This window comes from Homo sapiens, chromosome 16 (assembly GCF_000001405.40).
Source record: "Homo sapiens chromosome 16, GRCh38.p14 Primary Assembly".
Lineage (NCBI taxonomy): Eukaryota > Metazoa > Chordata > Mammalia > Primates > Hominidae > Homo > Homo sapiens.
The window spans coordinates 78,047,832-78,072,199 of NC_000016.10; the positions used below are offsets into that span (position 1 = coordinate 78,047,832).

Consider the following 24,368-nt stretch of genomic DNA (forward strand, 5'->3'; position numbering starts at 1 on the left):
GAACTGCATTGGATCACCTGAGGTCAGGAGTCCAAGACCAGCCTAGCCAACATGCAGAAACCTATCTCTACTAAAAATACAAAACTTAGCCAGGTGCGGTGGTGGGTGCCTATAATCCCAGCTAGTTGGGAGGGTGAGGCAGGAGAATAGCTTGAACCTGGGAGGCAGAGGTTGCAGTGAGCCAAGATTGCACCATTGTACTCTAGCCTGGGCAATAGAGCGAGACTCTCAAAAAAAAAAAAAAAAAAAAAAGGAAAAAAAACTGCATTAAATGGTTAATAAGTGTTACCCTATGGGCGACATAATGTGGGTGAAATTTTTTTCTTATTTTTCTACACTTTCTACAAGGAGCAAACACTATTATTATTATTATTATTATTATTATTATTATTATTATTATTATTTTTGGCAGAGCTAGCTCAAGTTTTATTTTAGCCAAAAGAAAAAAAAAAGCCCAATTGAATTGTTTTGTAGCTGGAGGCATGGGCAAGGGGGGTCCCCAGATAGTAAACTCCCCTGCAGGTGGGCTTAGGGCTAGGGCTGAGCCTCAGGTGGGTCTCCCGTTCGCCCAGCTCTCCTGCACAGCAGCCTCGCTTCTGGGCTCTGGCGCAGCCTCAGGACGGGCAGGCTGGGAGGGGCTATCGCAGCTGTTCACTTTGGCAGATGTCAGGACTCGGACACCAGCTTCCCATCACGGGTCTCAAGCTTCTTCACAACCACGGCCTTGGTGGAGCTGGAGCCGGCGCCAGAACCAAAGCTGGAGCTCAGGCAGTAGCTTGTGAGGCCCCCCTAGGCCGAGCTCAGACCACTTACATAGCCACTGGTGGTCTTCGAATGGATACTCATGTTACGCATCCCAGACTCCAGCCGGCTCTCCTCACCCTCCAGCAGCTTCCTGTAGGTGGCTATCTCGACGTCCAGGGCCAGCTTGAAGTTTATCAGCCCCTGATACGCAGCTGCCGTGCCATGTCCCGCTTGGCCGGCTGTGGGGCAGCCTCCCAGCTTGGACAGCTTGGCGTTGGCATCCTTAACGGCCAGCTCCCCACACTGCTCGGCATCTGCGAGGGTGGCCTCCAGGGAAGCCCTCTGGCCTTTGAGGCCCTCAATCTCAGCCTGGAGCCGGCTGATGTTCCCGTTCATCTCAGAGATCTGTCTTCGAACGCCACAGGTCACCCCCGTGCTTCCCAGCCAGCGCCTGCAGCTCCTCATACTTGATCTGGTACATGGTCTCACAGCCTCAGCCTGGCTGCAGTTGGCGATCTCCTCATACTGCGCCCTGACCTCAGTGATGATGCTGTCCATGTCCAGGGTGCGGCTGTTGTCCATGGACAGCACCACAAACGTGTCCGATATCTGGGACTGCAGCTCCTGGATGTCCTCTTCATATAGCTGACTGAAGAAGTTGATCTCGTCAGTCAGGACTTCCAGGCAAGACTCCAGCTCTACCTTGTTCATGTAAGCTTCATCCACATCCTTCTTGATGAGGACAAATTCATTCCCCACCTCTGTACGCTTATTGATCTCATCCTCATACTTGTTCTTGAAGTTCTCCACCAGCCCCTTCATGTTGCCAAACTCTGCCTCCAGCTTCAGCTTCTCCTGGCCCAGAGTCTCCAGCTGCCACCTAAGGTTATTGATGTAGCTCTCGAACATGTTTGTCCATGTTGCTCCAAGCCATCTGCTGCTGCTGCAGGAGGCTCCACTTGGTCTCCAAGCATCTTGTTCTGCTGCTCCAGGAACCGTACCTTCTCTATGAAGGAAGCAAACTTGTTGAGAGTCTTGACCTGCTCCTTCTCCTGGGTGTGCACGGCCTGGATGTTGGGGTCCACCTCCAGGTTAAGGGGGCTCAGTAGGCTCTGGTTGACTGTGATGATGGTGATGCCTCCCATTCCACTGGCCCCAGCATAGCCTCCACCCTGGCCACCCCGGAAGCTGCTGCTGCCCACTCGGGAGAAGCTAGAGAAGCTGATGGGGGCACCGGGCCCACTTGTGTAGGAGAGGCTGCTGAAGGCCCAGGGGTCAGAGGTGGACACCTTGTAGGACTTCTGGGTCACCTTGATGGACATAGTGGAGGCAGAGTGGAGGTAGGCAGGCTGAACCAAGTGGAGATTCCAGAAGGAGCAGAGAAGCTGCTTCTTGGTCCATAATTTTTAAATCAAGAACCACGTTTTATATATGTAACTGGACGTCAATGCGCCAACTTATTTTAATACTTTGGTGCTTGTCAGACACATCCTACTGATTTGAGAGCTTAGCATTTCAGTAATGCACTATTTCCATTAAGTTTCAGCCTACCTTATTAAAAAATATAAGAGCTAGAATGCATCCTTCATAAATCCAAAGAAAGGGGGTTGGCAACAGAGAAAAAAGTTGCATTAAGTGGAGGACTCATCTTAACTTTTGCATTTGCCAGTTAAATGGATCTGTTACCCAGAGACCAGCTTGCATCCCAAACTACAATGCAAGGAGTGGATTATGACTGGATACTCAACATCAGGACAGTAGAACAAAAAGTAATCTTCACACGTTGGGGAATTCTCACCAAAAGCAGAACAACTTAACACTTTCTTTCTCCTTTCAGTTTTTTCAGATATTTTCCACCAAGTTACTTTTGCCTAACAATTCATCCACCATCACAAAAGACTAAGAGATCAGTCAAGAGATTTAAGAATACATGGAATGAAAATTTAAAAATTCAAAAGACTCTTTCCCTGAATCCAAAAACTACTGCAAAGAAACCGGCTCTATTCACAGTCATCTTCAAAGAAGAACATTCTTGGCAAACATTGTCCTTCACCCTCAGAGAGAGGAAACTCTCTTTTATGTTTAATGTACATTCCTCCTGCTTTGAAGCCTCCCTTTCCCTGTCCCCTGTGGAGAGTTTCTGTTGCTTTATGGATTTTAAAGTATGCAGAATTTATATTATTTCAGCTTCTTAAAAGCCTCATTTGCTGAGAAAGTGTGCGTATCTTAAAATGCATGAATTCTGTATGGTGCCAGAAATGTAGAAAATGTAGAAAGCTTATGTTATTTTTCCAGAGGAAAAGTCAAAGCTGATGGTCAAGATTGATATGTTAGCCATAGCCCAATGATAGCAAAGATTGTGTTGGAGTCATAAATGTCTCTTTACAAATGCCAACGGCCTAGGCAGATATTTTATAAGCTCCATGGATATTTAATCAAGCATGCCTGTCTTTGTTGACCTAGAGCTTTTGGTATTTATTAGCAATTTTTTGTGTTAAGAAAGAATTTTTTTAATCAGATGAACTTTATGGTGGTCAAAGGTCAAACAAATAATTAAAATTAATAGCAGCTCTGAATAAATGAGTAACCACCACCAAACCAGAGAGGGAGGTTATCTCAGGTTGACAGCTCTCTAAATAAAAAAGCTGTCTCATTAGGTGATGAAATTTACTTGCCTGAACTGCCCATAAATAAAAGGTTTCTGTGGCCTACCAGTTGTTGATGGGGACAGAATAATCACTCAACACCAGATGCAATGCAACAAAGTAATTAATGCTCAGAACTCAGAGCTGGGTATGAATCAAGGATCCTTTACTTAGTAGTTAACTAGAAGACTGGGACTAGTTAATTTCTCCAGTGCTCAGCTTCTTATCTACAGGTAAGAATTGTCACGGTACTTACCTTTCTGTGTTATTGGGAGGATTGAATAAGAAAGCTCATAGATACCTTAGTCATTGTATACATGTATGCAATGAAGTGAATGCTAACAATTTTTTTTTTTTTTGGAGACAGTCTCACTCCATCTCCCAGGCTGGAGTGCAGTGGCATGATCTTGGCTCATTGCAACCTCTGCCCGCATCCCGGGTTCAAGCAATTCTCCTGCCTCAGCCTCCCAAGTAGCTGGGACTACAGGCGTCTGCCACCACGCCCAGCTATTTTTTTTATTTTTAGTAGAGACGGGGTTTCACCTTGTTGGTCAGGCTGGTCTCCAACTCCTGACCTCAGGTGATCAACCTGCCTCAGCCTCCCAAAGTACTAGGATTACAGGCATGAGCCACCCCCCCTGGCCAACTATTTTTGTCCTCCTTTGCATCATTTCATATGAGCACATATTCCCAAATGTGAAGACAATGACTCCCCCTCCGTTTATCCTCCACTCCAGGTATCTGCTGAATCCTCCAAGGGGAACAGAATAAGGGGAAGATCCCTGGAGATCAGATTCTCAGATCCAGTATCCCGTGTGCTGACCTGCCATGACAAACACTGGCAGGGAGCCTGCCATAGAGGAAAAGAGTAAGAATTGGCTGAGTTCACATATGGGCTCCATCAATAACTAGCGGCCAGGTGAGATTAGGTGAGTGTCTTCTCAGAAACTTAGTATCCTCCCTGAAAATTGTGTATACTTGTACTAAGCTCAGAGGATTATTGTTGAAAATTAAATGGAATGAGAGATGTAGATGTGTCAAATGCAGTGTTTTACCCAAGCAGATGTTCAGTTAGCACTGGTCTCCTTCATGGCACTGAGTTTTGGGGTGACCTTTTCTGAGCTGTCCCCATCCAGGCCCTTTCTTTTGGAGCGTTCTCAGTATAACCCAACAGGTGGACACATACGCAGAAGGTAGAAATTTTATTCCCACAAACACAGCATGTGTTATTAACACAGTAAATCATCAGCGTGATCAAGGCTTGACATTCTAGAAAAAGAGGCAGCATGACAGAACTGCTTTGGGCACATGTCAACATGAGAGCAGACTGGCAAGGTACACATTAGTCACAAATTGTATGGATGGCACCCACAGTCCCTTTCTTTCAGCTTCAGTTTCCTTCCAAAAAAAAAAAAGGAAATATCTAGAGTATTAGTATTCTTCTCGAAAACGATTCTACCATGCTACTCAGAATTAACCTTTTCTTCTAAAACAAGTGGAATAGCCAGCAGGAGGGGAAAAGCAGAAGGTCCTTGCTCAGTTCCCTCTTTCTCATCCTCCTGTTATTTCTGCCCCTGGGATGGAAAGAGTCCTCCTCTCTCACGTTTAAAGTTAAAAGGACTTTCAGGGTTTACTGAGAATTCCTTAAGAGGAATGAACAACCTCAATGTATGAACAAGAACAAGAACATCCATGGCACTTATTAAGTACGCTTTACCACATTATATATTTTAAGTTCTGGGATAGATGTGTAGAACGTGCAGGTTTGTTACATAGGTAAATGTGTGCCTTGGTGGTTTGCTGCACCTGTCAACCAGTCACCTAGGTATTATGCCCCACATGCAGCTATTTAACCTGATGCTCTCCTTGCCCCAACACCCAACAGGCCCTAGTGTGTCTTGTTCCCCCCTCCCTGTCTTCACCACTTAATTTCTATGAGATCAAAGATAAGCTTTAGTGTTGTGATTTCAAAATTGTCGGTGGAGACGGACAATCGTAACCTCAGATTGCTGATTGGCAGATAGGGGAATGTATGGTTATAAGAGCCTGCCACAAAGAAAACACCCAAAGTGTTTGCTTTCTCTTGAGATGGAGTCTCACTATGTCACCCAGGTTGGAGTGCAGTGGCGTGATCTTGGCTCACTGCAACTTCTGCCTCCCTGGTTTAATCGATTCTCCTGCCTCAGCCTCCCGAGTAGCTGGCATTACAGGTGCCCACCATCACATTCAGCTAATTTTTTTTATTTTTAGTAGAGATGGGAGGTTCACCCTGTTGACCAGCTGGTCTCTAACTCCTGACCTCAGGTGATCTGCCCGTCTTGGCCTCCCAAAGTGGTGGGATTACAGCCGTGAACCACCACACCTGGCCTGCTTTCTATTTACGCCTCAGAAGGACTGTAGGCCCATTGAGGTTACAGATTACTTTTATTTTTTGTATGCCCCACAGATCTCACACATAGCCTAGTATAATACATTATATAAATATTTGCAGATGGGTCAAAACAACTATTTTAAGACAAGGAAAAAGATCTCAGCATAATGCCCCCCTCTCAGATGAGCAGAGAAGATGAATTACCAAGGTGTCATCCAATAGCTAGATGCATGGTCTTACGATGGATCCGGATGTTTTTCCCCCCACTCAGACGTGTATTTAATAATTGTAGAAATCCAAAAGAATCGGCATCTAATCTTGAAGTCGTGAATGAACCTGTGGGTTGGCTTGACTAGGCTCAGCCACTGAGCTGCCTCAGCTAACCAAGGAACAGGATGTGACGACTATGCTATCTTCCGTATGTCTTAATCTTACATATTTAGTTTCAGTAAAGCATTTGTACCAACGGCTCTGGAGCTTGGAGGAAGACTAAAGTGTAGTGATTCTGAGCAGGGTGTGGGCCTATGCAGCAGAGCTATCCTTGAGGGAGAAGATTAACAAAGTCCTTTCTTCCAGTATCAGGAGAGTCATGAGTGGCAGTCCTATCCAAATGGGCCACTAGGGCTAAAAGGCTAGACCCTGCCCTCTTCATCTCTGAGCTATAACAGGTTCTTTCTCCCTCCAGGCAGAGGCAAGGAGCTTGCAATGGGGAGTTTTCAGGAATGAGGACCATGACATAGTTGTTTCTGATCCCTCCATCCAGTTGTGAAAAGATGAAGCAAAGGAGGCAAGAAAAATGCTTAATCTAGCAGACAAGAGAATGGACAGTGTCGTCCTTATCAGTACTAGTCCTGGTGGATGCACCACTATTCAGCTCCACAATGCTGCTTTTTTCCCTTCATTTCCTCTGTTTCCATTCATTCCCCTCAGTTGTGATCTGGAATCAATTCTAAACCTCAGTGTATTATGCAGCTGATCCTTAAAAACCTGCAAAAGCAGGTTACTTTTGAGGTACTTAGTCACACCATGTACAAATAGAGCTGTTATAGACAATGTAGCTTTGCAGAGATCTGCCCCTTTGCTCACTAGCAATTAGGGAGTTAATGCTCTAAAATTGAGGCAAGGAGCCTAGAGTGTTGCCACTTTACGGAAGGCACAAAAGTTGCAGCAGGACTCTATGGGAGCTGCCCAAGACCTGATGGCATGAGATTTCTATCTGAGTCATTAATCTGTCTGCCATGAATGATTCTATACTTTGGCTGAGACATAGTTCTGGTGAGAGTTTTATTCTCTCAGGACATTATAAAGGAGGCAACGTAATGTAAAGGAAGAACAAATAACAGAGTGGAAATCCAGTTTTGCCTCAGACTAGCTGGGAGACCACAGGCAAGTCATGGAAGGCCTCAGTTTCTCTGACTGCAATTATTATATTGGATTGGATGGTCATGAAGTCCCTTTCATAGCCAGACATTTTGTATGGCCACTAAAATGCTTAAATTTCTGAGGTCCTGAAAGAAAATAGGTACATCCCTCCCCATCCCCACCACTATTTAGGCTAGTTTTGCTGAGTTTTCCCCAGGTCCCCCGATAACACTTCCTCCTAGGCTGGGCACGGTAGCTCATGCCTGTGATCCCAGTATTTTGGGAGGCCGAGGCAGGCAGATCACCAGAGGTCAGGAGTTTGAGACCAGCGTGGGCAACATAGGGAGACCCTGTCTCTACAAAAAATTTAAAAATTAGCTGGGTGTGGTGGCACATGCCTGTGGTCCCAGTTACCAGGGAGGCTGAGGTAGGAGGATCACTTGAGCCCAGAAGGTCAAGGATGCAGTAAGCTTTGATTTTGCCACTGCACTCCAGCCTTGGTGACAGAGAACCTTTCTCAAAAAAAAAGTACACGCGTAGTGACAGCTGACCTTTTAGTAGAAATGGCCCATGCCTTTACACAACTTTGTATAGCTAGAAAAGGCTGTTTTTTCTCTCCCCATGCCCAAGCTTATTCCATTAGGCATGCAGGTAACTGTCGTCCCGACACCCCGATGACCATTTCTCCTCATTCCAAAACAGGTAACCCTAAGAAATAATTCCTACAAGGAGAAGGTCTCAAATGCCAATCAGCAGTCATTTGGTGATGGTGGGTAAGGTCTAATGCTACAAAAAGGTTGCATCCAGAAGAATTCAATTCCCTAAGAATCCAAACTCCCAGGCTGGCAGGCAGCAGTGCTGAGGACAAGCTCACTGTTGAGAGTCGGTCTGGAAGACCCCACTGGAAGATCTTGTGGTGACGTAGACCTTGCAACTGCATTGTCATAGATGGCATTCACACTGGCGCAGAGAGGCTGCAGCTCTCTCACCCATGAGCAACCAGCCCACTGGCCACACAAGACAGTAGCAGTAGCTTCAGCAGAGACAGGACATTGAGTCCCGGGTGGTGGCTTGTGGGAGCAGGAGTGGGACTTGGATTTCGGGCCCTGGTTTGTTTCCTTCTTGAGTTTCTTCTCCTGATCCACTTAACTGCTTTGAAGGTATCCTTCTTTCCCCCTCCTGAGGTTCCTTAGCTCGCTGCTTGGCCTCAGGTTTCTCTGCCTCTCCTACTTCTGATGCCTCTCCTGCTTCTAACCCACCTGCACGGCCTTCACATCTTGTGACGCCTCGTATGCGTGCTGCTTACATTGCCTCTTATCCAAGCAATCACTTGCCACCTTGGCCAGGAGAGGATCCAGGGAGTTATCCTACAGGTCCAGACACTTCAGGTTCTTGAGCTAAGCAAAGCAGACAGGCAGGGTGGCCAGCTTGCTGAGGAGAACCAGGTGCTAGATGTTGACCAAATGGCTCAAGTCTGTGGGCAACCGTTACAGCCCATTTTTTTCTTCCTCTCTGTGCCCTGCCCCCAAGACAGGGTCTGTCATCCAGGCTTGAGTACAGTGGCACAATCAGGGCTCACTGCAGCCTTGACCTCCTAGGCTCAAGCCATCCTCCCGCTTAGCCTCCCAAGTAGCTGGGACCACAGGTACACACCACGCCCAGCCATTTTTTTTTTTTTTTTTTTTTTTTGGTAGAGACAGGGTCTCACTGTTGCCCAGGCTGTCTCCAACTCCTGGCCTCAAGCGATCCTCCCACCTCCTGCAGCTCATTCTTAATCTAGCCTCACCAGGCATGTAAGGCCATGGAAATTCAACAGTAGAGCCCCAGATTTATTTCAGAACAGATCCAGCATGGGGGCCTTTGGAAGGGCAGCCAGCTCCTTAAGGGCCTTCATTCAGGTTGTCCAGGCTCAGGTCCAGTTCATTGTCTCCTGCCTGTCAGAGGCTCCCGCCCTTGCTAACAGCCTTTGGTCATGATGACAGTGGCTGAGAGGGCTTGGCTCCAAGGTTCCCAGGCATGAGGGAGAGGAGCTGAAATGCCCTTGTCAGTTCTGTGGATCCCACCCAACCCACAACTCCTGCGCCTTCCACCGAGCCCCAGGCCTTGCTTCCACTAGTGCCGCGACGACGACCTGGATCAGGATTTTTCATTTTTCCATCCACGCGTAGCAACAGAGTCCCCTGACTGATGTTAGGTATCAACCCAGGACCACTTAAAATCAGGAAGAAATCAAGAAGTGGAGATATGAGTGAAAAAAGGGAGGTTTTTATACTAATTCTCTATTTTGTGGAATTATAATACAAAGCCCATCAGGGAAGCTTGCACTCTCATCCATAAGGCACACACATAGGCACATACACAAACTACTTCACACAGTTTTAGGGGCATTGTAAACTCCAGTTTATAATCCCCTATTTTTATCCATTTAAGCTCTCGGTCTAAATCTTGTAGCCGTAACAGACGTTCCTCAGCCCATTATGGACTTCTGGTAAAACAGGTGCAAATTGTTCAATTACATTGATTTTGGAGACTCAGCTGTGTCCTTCTAAGGAGATCCAAACTCCCAAAGTACCAAGATTTGTATGCTTGCCATGCTGCTGTCTTATTATTTTGAGACAGAGTCTCACTTTGTCACACACTGCAGCCTTGATCATCCAGGCTCAAGGATCCTCCCACCTAGGCCTCCAGAGTAGCTGGGACCACAGGTGTACACCACACCTGCCTAAATTTTTATTTATAGAGGTGAGGTCTTGCTATATTGCCCAGGCTAGCCTCTAATTCCTAGCCTCAAGTGATCCCTCCTGCCTCAGCCTCCCAAAGTGCTGGGATTATAGGTGTGAGCCACTATGCCTACCAGAGGGTATTTCCTATTCCATTTTATTCATCCACTCCATTCTAAGATGGAAGGTTGAGTAGTAGCTCATTAATGACCAGTCAGTTCTGCCTCTGGAAAGCTGTTTACAGAGAGCTCTCAGCCAGGTGGCTTCCAGGATTTATGGCCAAGGTGACCTTCCCACCCGACTGCACAATGGCACCTTGACAGGCTGAATCGTCAGCTTAGCAAGTGTGAGGGACTATGACTTCTCTAATCAATTTGTGTAATGCAGTGAACATGCCTTGGCACTAACCCAGAAGTGCTCCATCTTTGGACAAACATTGATCATTTCAAATGAAATCGATCAAAGAATCCATTATCCTCTCTTCTAGAAACCCATCTGTCATCTCACACACATTAGGCGATAACCAGAGTTGTCCAAACAGAGATGGCATATACATTAGCCACTCTCAAGCCGGACAAAAGAGAGCCAAACCTTTCATTGCAAAACATTTACTTAGCTCACCCACTGTATCTGAAATATCTTTTTGAAGTGTCACGTTTTCAGCCTCACAAGCTGTCTAGAAACCACAGACATTTACATAGCCCAAAGAAAACGACGGTTGTCAGTCTGGCTTCCACATTTGTCTTGACAAAAGTCCTTGAGACAACTGTCTTTGGGAGTCTCCATCACCTTAAACATGAGCACTATAGACTAGATTTTCTTTGGTCTCCAGAGAGCCCCCTACATAGCTAAAGCCTGTAGACCATCAACATAAAATCAACCGAATATGGGATTTTGAGTTTAATCCTTTTACAAGAGAGCTTCCCTATATCGGTTTAGCCTTTGCATATCCTCTCTTTCATTTGGGTCCCACTGGGGGTCGGTTCCTGGTAACTGGGTCCTTACATACTCTTAGGGGTTTTGGTAATCAGCCGGTGCACGTTCCTCTAGACACTTAGTTGCTGCTTGGAGCACTCTCTGCATTTCACCTGTGTTAAAGAGGAACATGAGCAACTGGTGGCAATCAGCCCAAGTGGGGTTATGGGTCTGGATAATAGTTTGGAGCAAATCAGTTAGAGCTTGTGGCTTTTCAGTATAGGACGGGGTATTGTTTTGCCAGTTGAGAAGGTCGGCAGAGGTGAAGGGCTGGTACACAAAAACACGCCTCTCCACCATGTGACCATCCTCATCTATCCCAGTATACCGCTGCTCTCTCAGGGGCATTTGTATCCCAGTTTTGGGTCTTAAACGAGCTGCCAAGGGAGGGGTTTCTCCAGAGGTTTCACCTCCTCTCTTGTCTACTCTGGGTGGCCTAGGGATATGTTTGTCTTGCGGAGGTGCAAGCACTGTGGGCTCAAAAGTGAGGAGCCTCTCTCCCTGATAAGGGGAGGGCACGACTGGGATCACTGGTGCCATCTCCTGCAATGGATCTTCTGATGCTGGGTCGAACAGAACTTCAGGAGTTGATTTCCCTCGGTGGGAGAAAGGGGATCTTTCCTTGGCTATCTGTCCCTTTGCTACTACCACTGCTGCTGCCTGCCCTCTTAACCACTGTGGGGGGTCTAGCACCAGCTGCAACCAAGTGTCTATGTATGGGAACTGGTCTAAGTGTCTTGACTTACCAGTTACCTTGTGCCATACCTTAGAAACAAGGGACCTGTCCAGGCTTCCTTCTGATGGCCAACCCACTTCTAATGTTGGCCAATCTATTTCATACAAAGTTCTAAGTTTCCCTGGTGTCATAGTAACCCCATAGTCTCCATTAAATCCCTTCTTAAAATTTTTCTACATAGTTCCTAGCGGAGTAGGCTTACTTTGTGTCTGACCCATGTTTCCTCGAGACAAAACACCAAGCTCACACCACACGCACACCACAGAACAAAGAACGGGTAAAAAGGGCACACACACACTTTTTCAGTTTACACCAAACCAAAATCAAAACCAAAATCAGAGTATCCAGAAATCCAAGCCAGGTCAAAACCAAAACCAAAGTATCAAGCAATTCAAGTCAAGTCAAAAACAAAAACCAAAGTGCCGGTACAGGCACGCCGTGGGTGATCAGGCCACGCTTCCACTCAAATGGAGTGGGCAAGTTCCAAAGACCGTTCTTACCAAGTTTCAGATGTCCGGACTCCAAGTGCCCGTTCCTTCCCGGTGTTCAGCCACTGCGTTGATCCTCCACGGGGGCCTGCCACGCACTGCTCTGACGAGGTGTTCCACCCGGGCAATTGCCTACCCCGGAGCGCTCTCAGGATCCACGTCGCTCAAGCTGGCCGGAGTCCCCCACAGGGATGCTCCACAGGGTATGCCTAAGCCGCCTAAGGGGCTGCCTCAACCGACCGTTAATCACCTCGCTTCCCGGTCAAGGAACCAAGAAATGTAGCAGGATGAGTCGCAGACAAAACTCCTCAGACACCGGATTAAAGAAGGAAGAGGTTTATCATTTGGCCGGGATCGTCCGCAGACTCGCGTCTTAAGAGCAGAGCTCCTCAAAAAAGAAATCACTGGCCTTTTTAAATGCTTACAACTTTAAGGGGTCCATGTGAAAGGGTCATGATACATCAAGCAAGCGTGGGAAACGTGACTGGGGGCTACATACATCAGCTAACAGAACAAAGAGTTTTACAGTGCTTTCTCATACGATGTCTGGAATTTACAGATAACACCAGTAGTTTTGGTCAGGGGTTAATATTATTTTAACCACCAGGGCCAGGTGGTGGCGCCAAGGTCACCTAGCTATTTATCTTACTTCTGTTTCTTTCCAACTTTTTGCTTTCTCCCTTTTCTCCTGGTCTTATAAACTAGGGAAAAGGGGAGGCTGTGGAGAAGCTGGGAAGGACAACAGGAGAAGTAGTGGTCTCATTCCATACAACCTCTGCCTCCCAGGTTCAAGCAATTCTCCCGCTTCAGCCTCCTGAGTAGCTGGAATTACAAGCACCTGCCACCACGCCCGGCTAATTTTTGTATTTTTAGTAGAGACAGGGTTTCAACCATCTTGGCCAGGCTGGTCTTGAAACTCCTGACCTTGTGATCCACCTGCCACAACCTCCCAAAATACTGGGATTACAGGCATGAGCCACTGTGCCCGGCCAGCTTTTCCTTTTAAAATCCTGAAATCAGAAAGGGTCTGATTATATTCCATTTCTTAAGCAGTAGAGGCTATCTCCTTCCAAGAGGGAGTTGCAGGGCTAAAGCAAACATAGATAATATGCAAGCAAATAATTGTGGCTCAGTTCCAAAAGCTTTACTAAAACAGGGAGCAGGCAGATTTGACCTACGGACCATGGATCGCCAACCTTGGGTCTACATGGAAGCCCAGATGACTGCCTTTGTTTCATTCTGTTTATTATTGAGGGAGATCTGGGGCTTTTCCTCACTTGTATTTAACGATCCATACTGCACGTCAATGTACTGCTCAGTTAAAATTCTAGGTATTTCGGGGATTCTATTTTTCTCCCTCTGCTCTTATATATATGCTTGCTCTATTGCATGGTTTATTCATAGACAAGAAAACTTTTCTTAGTCACTGACCATTTGGGTTTATTAGTAAAGCAGTTCTAATATGACAACATAGTTGTTTTTTTGATAATTTTGAGAGAGTTTCGCTCTTGTTGCCCAGGCTGGAGTACAATGCTGTGATCTCTGCTCACTGCAACCTCTGCCTCCCAGGTTCAAGCAATTCTCCTGCCTCAGCCTTCCGAGTAGCTGGGATTACAGGCATGTGCCACCACGCTCTGGTCTCAGCCTCAGCTGAGAAAAAAAGCACAGAGGTTTTTTTTTTTTTTTATCAAAAACTACTCAGCAGTAGGCCGGGTGTGATGGCTTATGCCTATAATCCCAGCACTTTGGGAGGCCAAGGCAGGCGGATCACCTGAGGTTGGGAGTTTGAGACCAGCTTGTCCAACATGGAGAAACCCCGCCTCTACTAAAAATACCAAATTAGCCAGGCATGGTGGCAAATGCCTGTAATCCCAGCTACTAAGGAGGGTGAGGCAGGAGAATCACTTGAACCTGGGAGGCGGAGGTTGCGGTGAGCCGAGATCCTGCCATTGCACTCCAGCCTGGGGCCATTTGGTATATGCTCGATTGCAGCTGAAGAGTAAATTGGAAGGAGAACTAGTTCTTGGTCTCAGAAACTCTCACCTCTTGTACTAGGCCTGCCACAAATTTGCTGAATGGAAACGTCAACATCTTTCTGGATGTTTTCTCATCTCTCAAATAGGCAAACAGGACTAGATCTGATGTTCTTGAACACCTCAGTCTTGGCAATCTATTTTAAGCAGACTCTCCTAGGCCCTCCCATGTTACCCATCATCTGAGAGCAATGTTTCTCAAACATTTTTTTTCCATTACCCCCCTAAGGAGCTTTTTAACATTTTTTTCTGATTGCAACCCTCCTCTTTTTGTGATCTTCAGTTTCCCCTGTGGTAGTTTCTTACATAACAGTAAGATTCTATACTATTATGTAACTGTCATGTTTTATAAGAATATTGAAACTAGAAAATTGAGAATCAAACTTGGGTTGAAATGCCAAAAAAAACCCAAGTAAAATGGCACATTCCATATTTTCAAATTTGCCCAACCCTATCACACAAAGGCAGCTAAGCGTGGTTTCTGCCCGTGAAGGCCTACAGCCTCATAAGGCTTCCACAGTTCAAAGAAGTCCCTTATGTATTGTGGATTAGGAGAAATACATACATGACAGAAAATGCTAACTCCAATAACATTTTCTCATTCTTTCATCCAAAAAACAATCCTCTATGATGTTGAAGGAGTTGTAATAGAAACAAAAGTATATTTAAGAATAACTAGACCAATTCCAGGTAATATATGTATCTATTTCACTCTGAAAGTCACATGACTCCGCACTCAAGTGTGGACCATGCACAGTAACTTCCTTTTAAAAGCTACAGCATATGTTAAAGAAAAAAAATTCTTGACACTTGTTAAAGAACAGGAAAGCAGACTTTATATAGGACCATTGCAGTAGGTATAGAAACCACAGCAATGGGGTTTTGCAATGAAGGTTGAGCTCAACTCCTAATACAAGAAGAAAAAAAGTGGGGATTTATAGCTAAGGATCTATCCCTTGACTCCTTGAGGGTGAGGGAATCAGAGGATGAGAAATTACTAACAGAAAATATCTAGGGTCAGCTGGGCACAGTGGCTGATGCCTGTAATCCCAGCACTTCGGGAGGCAGAGGTGAGTGGCTTACTTGAAGTCAGGAGCTCAAGACCAGCCTGGCCAACATGGTGAAACCCTGTCTCTACTAAAAATACAAAGGTTAGCCTGGCGTGGTGTCAAACACCTGTAATCCCAGTTACTTGAGAAGCTGAGGCACGAGACTTGCATGAACCCAGGAAGTGGAGGTTGCAATGAGCCGAGATCACACCACTGCACTGCAGCATGGGCAACAGAGCGAGACTTCATCTCAAAAAAAAAAGAAAAAAAAGGGGGAAAAAACCATTCAGGGTAAGAGTATTCTGCATAAACCTAACAGAATTCTTGCTGCAAGCAGATCAGAATAGGTATCACCTGGGGATAGCGGAGGAGCAAAGACCAGATCAGATTTCCAGGATGGGGGATTCTGGCAAACTGACATAGCAGGATTCCTGCCCAAATTGGACAATGCAGAGGTGAAAATGGAAGCCCAAAAGTCAAAAAATTCGTTCTAAGTATTCTTTCAAACAATCCTCTATGATGTTGTTTGATGTAGGTGGAAAAGGTTTAGAGAAGCCCGGTTAAAGCTTGGTCAAAGAAAGAACCTTTGTCAACAGACAAAGGAAAAAAAAAGGTAACTCCACAGTGGAGAATCTTGGTTCACTACAGCCTCAACCTCCCAGGTTCAAGCAATCATCCCACATCAACTTCCTAGGTAGCTGAGACTATCAGCATGCACCACCAGGCCCAGCTAATTTAAAATTTGTATTTCTAACTAGCTGCCCAGGTGATGCAAATCCTGCTGGTTCATAACCACACTGAATAGAATCTAAGTACACTTCCTGAAGAAAAACAGTATCATAGGAACCATTTCAAGTAAGTCTTCTGCTCCGATCTTCCATGGCCAGACATTGGGAACAAGCTTGCTGACTTTTCTGGAGTTCTCCTGGAATATCCCCTTCTCCCCTAACATTGCTACTAGGTAATTTCGTACTGCTCAGTATTTCAGTGTAGCTGGCACAGTTTAAGTTTGGGCAGTTTTTAACCTTCAGGAAAGAAAAGTAGAGAAGAGAGGTAAGATAAACCCTGCATTGTCTACCTATTACTAGGTTTGTGAAATGTTTGTTCTTGATTGTTCTAATGATCTTTGGAGGTGACTATTTCTATTCTACAACTTAGGAAATTTTGGCGAGTTTTTTATTCCTTCCAAGCTAAAGGTGAACCTGCAGACAAAGGGAGTGGGAAGACAGATTCAAGTTTTCCCACTTACAACCAACCAAAAAATAAGTCAAAGAAGCAAAGAAAACAGCAAGTATTTTCCACTCTCCTCAATTCCCTTTGCCCTTATTGAGCCTACTGCAAATTTGCATTTGTTTTCTGCAGCAGAACTTCTTGTAGCTGTTTGTAGTTAGCTAGTTCGTAGTTTTACATTATCACTTTCCTTCTAAGTATTCTTTCTAAACACTCAAGTTAGTATTCTCAGGAACAATCTTAAAGGAAAACACATCTCCTATCTGTGGCACATCCCCCTTAATGTACCCTTGATCCCCTCTTTTTTAATTCAAAGTTGTATGAAACAAGCCCCTTTGAATTACCCTTTATATACCCTAGGCCTTGTGGGCGGGGAAAAGGTTGTCCTTTAGCCCCAGCAGACTTCAGTTAAGCATCTCAAGGTAAAAATCATTTTTCAATGTATCAGAACCCTCCCTTGGAGACTGATTCATTCAGAGTGGGGTGGAGCCTAGAATCTAGAATCCGCTCCATCGCCCCACCTCCATGAGCTTTGGGGCCCCAGCAATTTGGAAGTCATTTTTTTTCCCTTTTGATAGAAACAGAGGTCTCATTATGTTGCCCAGGTTGGGCTCAAACTCCTGGGTGCGAGCAATTCCCATACTTTGACCTCCCCAAGTGCTGAGATTACAGGCATGAGCCACCTCACCCAGCCTTCTTTTTTTCTTTAATCAAACTGTTCAGTTAGTTATGTTACAGGTTGAGCATCCCTACATCCAAAATGCTCCAAACTCTAAAACTTTTTGAGTGCCAGCACGATGCCATAAGTGAAAAATTCCATAGGTGACCTCCTATGATGGATCGTATGTGTGTCATGCACAAAATTATTTAAAATATTCTATAAAATTAGCTTCAGGCTATGTGTATAAAGTATATATGAGACCTAAATATATTTCATGTTTAGACTTGGGTCCCATCCCCGCAATATCTCATTATATATATGCAAATATTCCAAAATAAAAAAAAAATCTGAAACCCTTCTAGTCCCAAGCATTTCCAATTAGAAATACTCCACCTGTACCTCTTTAACTGTGGGCATATTAGAACAGGGCACCTTGTTCATCTCCACATCTTCTATCCAACCCTTCTCAAATGGTATTAGTGAGAGAATAAACCCCTATACCCCTTATAAGAGTTAGAGAAAGAGGAAAGAAACACGAAAAGCGGCTTAACAGTTAAAAACAGGTTTATTCTCCAAGATAAACAGGGCTTCTGTCCAATTTTGGTCAGGAACATTCCCTTTTACAGACTAAGGATATTTAAGGGTTTAGGAAGTGGGGAGCTTATCGTAGGTTCAGAATGTTTCTATGTGAGGGAAAGTTTATTACAGCGTTGGAATGTCACTGGTCAGAGGGGAGGCTGTCTTGGGGTTGGCATATTTCTGGTTGGAGGAGGGTTTATCTTAGGGCTGGAATGTTTCTGGTTATGCTGACATTAGCCATTAGGCTGATGTTTTGGGGCTAGATTTAGGCTTTTTTTTTTTTTTTTAGTCAAGAGAAACTTAAAATGGCAGAGTTTGTCCAAAATGGCGACGCCCCTGCTCTGTCAATCCAGTCCCTATAGTTATAAAAAGGATGAGGGATAGTGTGTTCTTTCTGGCTAGTTCCTGCTGAGGAGGGCATGAAGAGTTCTTTGGTTTTGGAGAGTAAACCTGTCTTTGACTGTTAAGTCACTTTTCATGTTTCTCTCCTCTTACTTTAACTCTTACATCCCAAAGTATGAAATGAATTAACTTCTTCTCTATGTATCTAAGGTATCATCACTGTGCCATCTTTGGGAAGAATGAGAAAATAGCCACTGCAATAATTTTCTGGAGGGCTATTTTTTCCTATGGGACACTGATGGAGGAAGACCACAGCCCATTGACTAGAAAAAGGCCTGGAATGGAGTTCACGCCCTCAGAGCTCGTGCAGGAGCCATCTATGAACTACAAGCACATTGACTCCGTATCCTCACATGAGCCCTGGGAGGCAGCCACTGTTAATATCCTCATTTTATGGATGAGGAAACTGTTGCCCTGTTAAAGCTTAATCAGCTTTATTATTTGCTTCCCATCACTGCTGTCACAACTTGCCACAAACTCACTGATGTCACACAACACAAAGTTATTATCTTATGGTTTGGGAGGTCAGATGTCCAAAGTTGGTCTCCTTGGGCTAAAATCAAGGTGTCAGTGAGGTTGGTTCCTTCTGAAATTCTGAGGGGAGAATTTGTTTCCTTGCCTTTTTATTTTGTTTTTGTTTTTGAGACAGAGTCTCACTCTGTCACCCAGGCTGGGGTGCAGTGGCGCCATCTTGGCTCACTGTAACCTCCACCTCCTGGGTTCAAGAGATTGTCATGCCTCAGCCTCCCAAGTAGCTGGGATTACAGGTGCATGCCACCACACCCAGCTAATTTTTATATTTTTAGTATAGACAGGGTTTCACCATGTTGGCCAGGCTCGACTCAAACTCCTGATCTCAGGTGACCCCCAACCTCAGCCTCCAAAGTGCTGGGATTACAAGCCTGAGCCACTGTGCCTGGCCTTCCTTGCCTTTTTCAGCTCCTAGAGGCCACCCGAATCGTTTAGCTAATAATCCCTTCCTTGATGATACACTCCAACTTCTTGTTTTTCTTTATTTCTAAAAAGCGGTTCTGTAACTCTCAATCCAGAGATGTTAAAAATGTTTCTAGGCACGGTATTAGTAAATCAAGTAAATTTCATGTCCTCTTAAAGGACAAACTTCCAGAGATTTGAATATAAATTTTTATATGTGTTATTGATTGTCGTGTAACAAATGGCCCCCACAAATTAGTAGCTTAAAATAGCATTTATGATGTCACTGTTTTCTTTGCCTTTTCATTAATGTTCTGTACAGACCTATGTAAACAACTTTTGTATATGCATATAGGATAGCTTTTTTGAGGGTATACAGCTGTATACAAAAGCAGCTGATATTAGTTAAGCTTGTGTCAACTACTTTTTTTGACTTGTACATTTGGTACTTTTTCTGGAGGGTGTTGATTAAAGTTGTATGTGCTTAGTATATGAGAAAAAAACTGCTTCTGGCTCTGGGCCTCTCACAAGGTGGCAATAAAGGTGTTGGCAAGGGCTTTAGTCATCTCAAGGCTTAACTGGAGCCCTTGTGTACATGAATGTGCAGAGTGTGACTCAGTTTCCAAGCTCACTCATGTGGCTCTTGGCAGAAGACATAAGTTCTTTGTGACATGGGCCTCTCTGTAGGACAGCTTACAGTGTGACACCTGGCTTTTTTCAGAGTAACTGAGCAAAAAGCCAGAGAGGCAGAGCCCCCAAGATTGAAGCCACGGACTTTTTTTTGAGACAGAATTTTGCTCTTATAGCCCAGGCTTGAGTGCAGTGGCGTGGTCTCAGCTCACTGCAACCTCCACCTCCTGGGTGCAAGCAATTCTCCTGCCTCAGCCTCCCGAGTAGCTGCCACAGACTTTTTATGACCTAATCTTGGATGTACTATCCCATTTCTTCTCCATGTTCTTCACATAAGAATGTCAGTCCAGCCCACATGCAAGAAGAGGGGATTTCAAGGGCATGAATACCAGGGGGTAGGGTCACTGGAGGCCACATTGGAGGCTGTCATTTATACCCTTTGAGAATTAAGTCAGGGATGTCCTTAATGAACATGCAGCATTGCTAAGATTCCAGACTAAATGGCTCAAATACATATTGGATTATTCTTCTGAGCTTACTGTTTATTTAGCCAAAAGTTATTAAGAATAAAGTATACTGGGGGGAAGAAAAGGAAGGAAGGAAATTATCTTTAATTCTCCCACACTAACATACATCTTAATTTTTGTCTTTAGTTCTTATTCAAATATATAAATATTTTTACATGATTATAATTTTTTATAGTCTTTGGTGCCCATTTTTTAACACTTGGCATCATATTACAAAGCATCAACCACATTTCCAGACAATCCTCATGATCATTTTATTTTATTTTTATTGGGATGGAGTCTCACTCTGTCACCCAGGCTGGAGTGCAATCTCATTGCAACCTCCGCCTCCTGGATTCAAATGATTCTCCTGCCTCAGCCTCATAAGTAGCTGGGATTACAGGAATGCACTACCAGCATGGCTGGCTAATTTTTGTATTTTTTTAGTAGAGATGGGGTTTCGCCATGTTGGCCAAGCTGGTCTGGAGCTCCTGACCTTAAGTGATCTGCCTGTCCTCAGCCTCCCAAAGTGCTGGGATTACAGGCTTGAGCCACCATGCCCAGCAGCACCATCATTTTAACATACTAGAGATCTTCATTATCGTAAAATTACTTGTTCTCTTAAAGTAAGGCCTTACACCCTACTAAAATGTGATCAAAATTTTATTATGAATAGATGAAAAGCTGTAGCTATAAATTATGAGAGTAAGTTTATTTTATATTTATCCAAATGTAGTTCATAATAGCAACTTCACTAAATCTTAGAATAAAAAATGAATAAAATGTTAATTTTTTGGAGGAAATGGTTAATTTTTTCTACAAAATTGTGTGACAGCTTTACAGACCTTACTCTTCACAATTGACTTGAACATTAACATCACAAAGAGGGTCCTGTTGACAAAAGAATAGTCAAGAACTTCATGAATTTTTGACAGTGACTCTTTTCTAACCCTTTAATCCAAATATATTTAAGTGTCCATCGTCGTCCTTTATCCAACTCATTTGTTAACTAGTTTTCTTCTGTGAGTTCCTTTGCCTATAATTGAAGCAGTTCTCTGAAATCACCCAAACTGATTTTATGAAAGCCCATGCTTTTGGAAAGATTTGCACTTCGGCTTTGCAATCTATTTACATTGACTGTACTTGCATTGTATTGCTAGATGTTGACTATCAGTTAGGACAATCAAAAATATATTGATAATGGGCAGGGATAAATCAGAAGTTACTGTCAATAACAAAGTTATGTTTTATGGGTATTTTATAGGTGATAAATTCATTACTGAGCAATTTCATATCATGTTTTAATTCTCCTGGTTGTAATATGGTGACTCTGGAGACTCAAATATTAAATATTGGTGTAAAGACAACCTCTTGTCATTCAATCTTGTCTACAGTTTGAACACAGGAAGAGTCTTTTTACATGTATAATGATAGTCCCAATAGTAATAATGACAATGGTTACTTTCTGCTTAGTGTTCTATTCTGTGCCAAGCATTGGATAATATTGATGAAAAGGTTAACTATTGTAATGTAGTGTAAGGGCTTAGGTATTAAAATGAATACAATGAATCAATACATAGTGCAGGAAAAGGTATTTGGGAAAATAGACATAATGTAGTTGGACAACTTAGCTTCAAAATGCATTAAACATTTTTATTTTTCCTTTCTCTTGGATTTCAAGATATAAGCTTGAGGCAAACTGCAGAAGCCTTTCCTTATCTTTTTTTTTTTTTTTTTTTTGAGACGGAGTATCGCTCATCGCCCAGGCTGGAGGGCAGTGGCATGATCTTGGCTCACTGCAAGCTCCGCCTCCCAGAAGTCACGCCATTCTCCTGCCTCATCCTCCCGACTAGCTGGGACTACAGGCGCCCGCCACCACGCCCGGCTAATTTTTTGTATTTTTAGTAGAGAGGGGGATTCACTGTGTTACCCAGGATGATTTCGATCTCCTGACCTCGTGATCCGCCCGCCTCGGCCTCCCAAAGTGCTGGGATTACAGGCGTGAGTCACCGCGCCCAGCCTTTCCTTATCCTTGAAATAGACTCCACGGACCTCCCATTCTCACTCTCTTCACATTTATCTAACTGTATGCTAGTATCTAATTATGTGTCTTCTTAGAAGTTCTAGGAGCTAATCTTGAAACAGACCAAGCCTGGAGACCCAGTTGCACAGTTCCAGAGATGGCTTCAAGGTGGCGAATTAACAACCCGGCCATTGTTGAGATGACGTCAGCCTGATGTCCAGGTGGACTGGGACCCAAGGTGGCCACCAGAACAAGACACGAGGACATTGTACTCAGCCCAATTCTTGCATGCCTTCCTTATCAAGTTTTCCCTTTTTAAAACCCATGCCTTCCCACTCAACCACAACTGAAGCAGTTACTTTGGATAGGAGTCCAGCTGCTTCCCCTTCAATAGTTTTGGTTAATAAAGTCACTTTCTTTCTACCAGAGCTTGCTCTTGTTAATTGAACTCTGCAAATGGCGAGCACCTGGACCTGCATTCTGCTACAATAATATGGAGGAGACTTCCGTTAGATAAAAATTATAGGAGACCATTGTTTTGGACTAAGCTCCTGCACAAGGCCCCAACGGAACTGATTAAAAATCAAAATGGAGTCACGCATGTTAAAGTTTCGTGTCACCAAACCTAAACTAAGTTTTTGTCTGACCTTTCTAGAAATCAGGAGAAGGAAAAATAGCCAATTGCCCAAACAGGCCCGTTTAAATCTTTAATTTTTCTATTGTTCTGTCTTCTTGTACGTGGTTTTCAAGAAAAAGTAACTTTGAAAAGTAATGAATGCACTCTGTACACACTCTGTTCTTGGTTTCTGTTTTCTGCACCGTTACTGTGTCTTACAAGGCCAGCCTCCTCTGCTTGGCTCACTGGAACACTAATTCTGTTTTATGGAACGAACTATTGCCCTATCCTAGAATCATCAAGTCAGTTGAGATCTTTAAATTTGTTGTAATTTTGGTTTTTGACAATTCAAGTTGTTTAAATCTCGAGAAAAGAAGATTAAGATGAACGAAGAATACAGTTCAAAATCATCCAACAACAGCAGAGGGTTCAACTGAGATAAACTGCCTTGTATAGGGGGCCCATCCTCATCTTCCTACTATATGAATGAAAAGTCCATCTACGCCAGGGGCAGTGACTCACTACTGTAATCCTAGCACTTTGGGAGGCCGAGGTGGGCAGATCACTTCAGGTCAGGAGTTCGAGACCAGCCCGGCCAACATGATGAAGCCCTGTCTCTACTAAAAATACAAAAATTAGCCAGACATGGTGGTGCATTCCTGTAATCTCAGCTACTTGGTAGCCTGAGGCAGAAGATACCGCTTGAACCTGATAGGCGGAGGTTGCAGTGAGCCCAGATCACACCACTGCACTCCAGCCTGGGCAACAAAGTGAGACTTTGTTTTAAAAAAAAAAAAGAGAAGAAAATTGTCCACCTGCAAATGAGGCAGCAGAACTACCGATGGAGCAATACATGGTCTTGTTAGCTTTGCCTGAGGAGCCAAGAGGGATTTGGGCTGGGGGGAGATTTATTCAAGAAAAAATGAGGAAGTCATTGCTGTAATTAAAACTGGTTGCAGCCAGGCATGGTGGTTCACACATGTAATCCCAGTAACTTGGGAGGATTGCTTGAGGCCCAGAGTTCCAGACCAGCCTGGAACTCCAGACCCTGTCTCTAAAAAAAAAATTAATTAGGTGGGCATGGTGGTTCGTGCCTGTAATCCCAGTTACTCCAGAAATGGAAGGATCACTTAAGTTCCAGAAGTCGAGGCTGCAGAGAGCTGTAGCTGTGATTATGCCACTGCACTCCAGCACTCCAAACTGGATGACGGAGCCAAACCTGGTCTCTTAAAAATACAAAACAAGACAAAAAAACAAAAGCTGGTTGCATCAAGCTTCCCAGGAAGCTAATTTAGACTCATTGTCTTCGCAGATGCAGGCAAGGTAAATAAGCAAGGCAAGGCATTTTCAAGAATAGTTTTTCTCGGCCGGACGCAGTGGCTCATGCCTGTAATCCCAGCACTTTGGGAGGTCGAGGTGGGTGGATCACCTGAGGTCAGGAAGTCGAGACCAGCCTGACTAACGTGGTGAAATCCCGTCTCTACAAAAATACAAAACATTAGCTGGGCATGGTGGCGGGCACCTCTAACCCCAGCTACTTGGGAGGCTGTGGCAGGATAATTGCTTGAACCTGGGAGGCGGAGGTTGCAGTGAGCCCGGATCGTGACATTGCACTCCAGCCTGGGCAACAAGAGCAAAACCCTGTCTCAAAATAGGATAAAATAA

At 44.4% G+C, this 24,368-nt stretch overlaps 1 long non-coding RNA gene and 2 pseudogenes across 1 annotated transcript, besides 5 other annotated features; 1 reads left to right on the forward strand and 2 right to left on the reverse strand.

Annotated features, from left to right (window-relative positions):
• KRT8P22 (keratin 8 pseudogene 22) lies at positions 406-2,141 on the reverse strand (annotated as a pseudogene).
• LOC107984897 (uncharacterized) lies at positions 3,462-21,431 on the forward strand. The gene is made up of 4 exons (XR_001752267.2): positions 3,462-3,622; positions 4,127-4,318; positions 15,882-15,978; positions 18,146-21,431. It is a non-coding gene; the product is annotated as an uncharacterized LOC107984897 (long non-coding RNA).
• Positions 5,283-5,452: an enhancer, noted in NCBI's record as "experimental_45663 CRE fragment used in MPRA reporter constructs". NCBI's record gives its function as "activates a minimal promoter by MPRAs in K562 erythroleukemia cells, with activity observed for both the introgressed and non-introgressed 16:78087096 variant alleles {active_cell/tissue: K562}" and the evidence as "EXISTENCE:reporter gene assay evidence [ECO:0000049][PMID:34662402]".
• LOC100131126 (leucine rich repeat containing 59 pseudogene) lies at positions 7,996-8,624 on the reverse strand (annotated as a pseudogene).
• Positions 15,860-16,029: an enhancer, noted in NCBI's record as "experimental_45737 CRE fragment used in MPRA reporter constructs". NCBI's record gives its function as "activates a minimal promoter by MPRAs in K562 erythroleukemia cells, with activity observed for both the introgressed and non-introgressed 16:78097673 variant alleles {active_cell/tissue: K562}" and the evidence as "EXISTENCE:reporter gene assay evidence [ECO:0000049][PMID:34662402]".
• Positions 17,593-17,762: an enhancer, noted in NCBI's record as "experimental_45804 CRE fragment used in MPRA reporter constructs". NCBI's record gives its function as "activates a minimal promoter by MPRAs in K562 erythroleukemia cells, with activity observed for both the introgressed and non-introgressed 16:78099406 or rs12927231 variant alleles {active_cell/tissue: K562}" and the evidence as "EXISTENCE:reporter gene assay evidence [ECO:0000049][PMID:34662402]".
• Position 17,678: a transcriptional cis regulatory region, noted in NCBI's record as "Neanderthal adaptively introgressed variant 16:78099406 (GRCh37/hg19 assembly coordinates) or rs12927231 in the experimental_45804 CRE". NCBI's record gives its function as "modulates activity of the experimental_45804 enhancer by MPRAs in K562 erythroleukemia cells {active_cell/tissue: K562}" and the evidence as "EXISTENCE:reporter gene assay evidence [ECO:0000049][PMID:34662402]".
• Positions 19,038-19,207: an enhancer, noted in NCBI's record as "experimental_45838 CRE fragment used in MPRA reporter constructs". NCBI's record gives its function as "activates a minimal promoter by MPRAs in K562 erythroleukemia cells, with activity observed for the non-introgressed 16:78100851 variant allele {active_cell/tissue: K562}" and the evidence as "EXISTENCE:reporter gene assay evidence [ECO:0000049][PMID:34662402]".
• Positions 21,432-24,368: the final 2,937 nt, after the last annotated feature.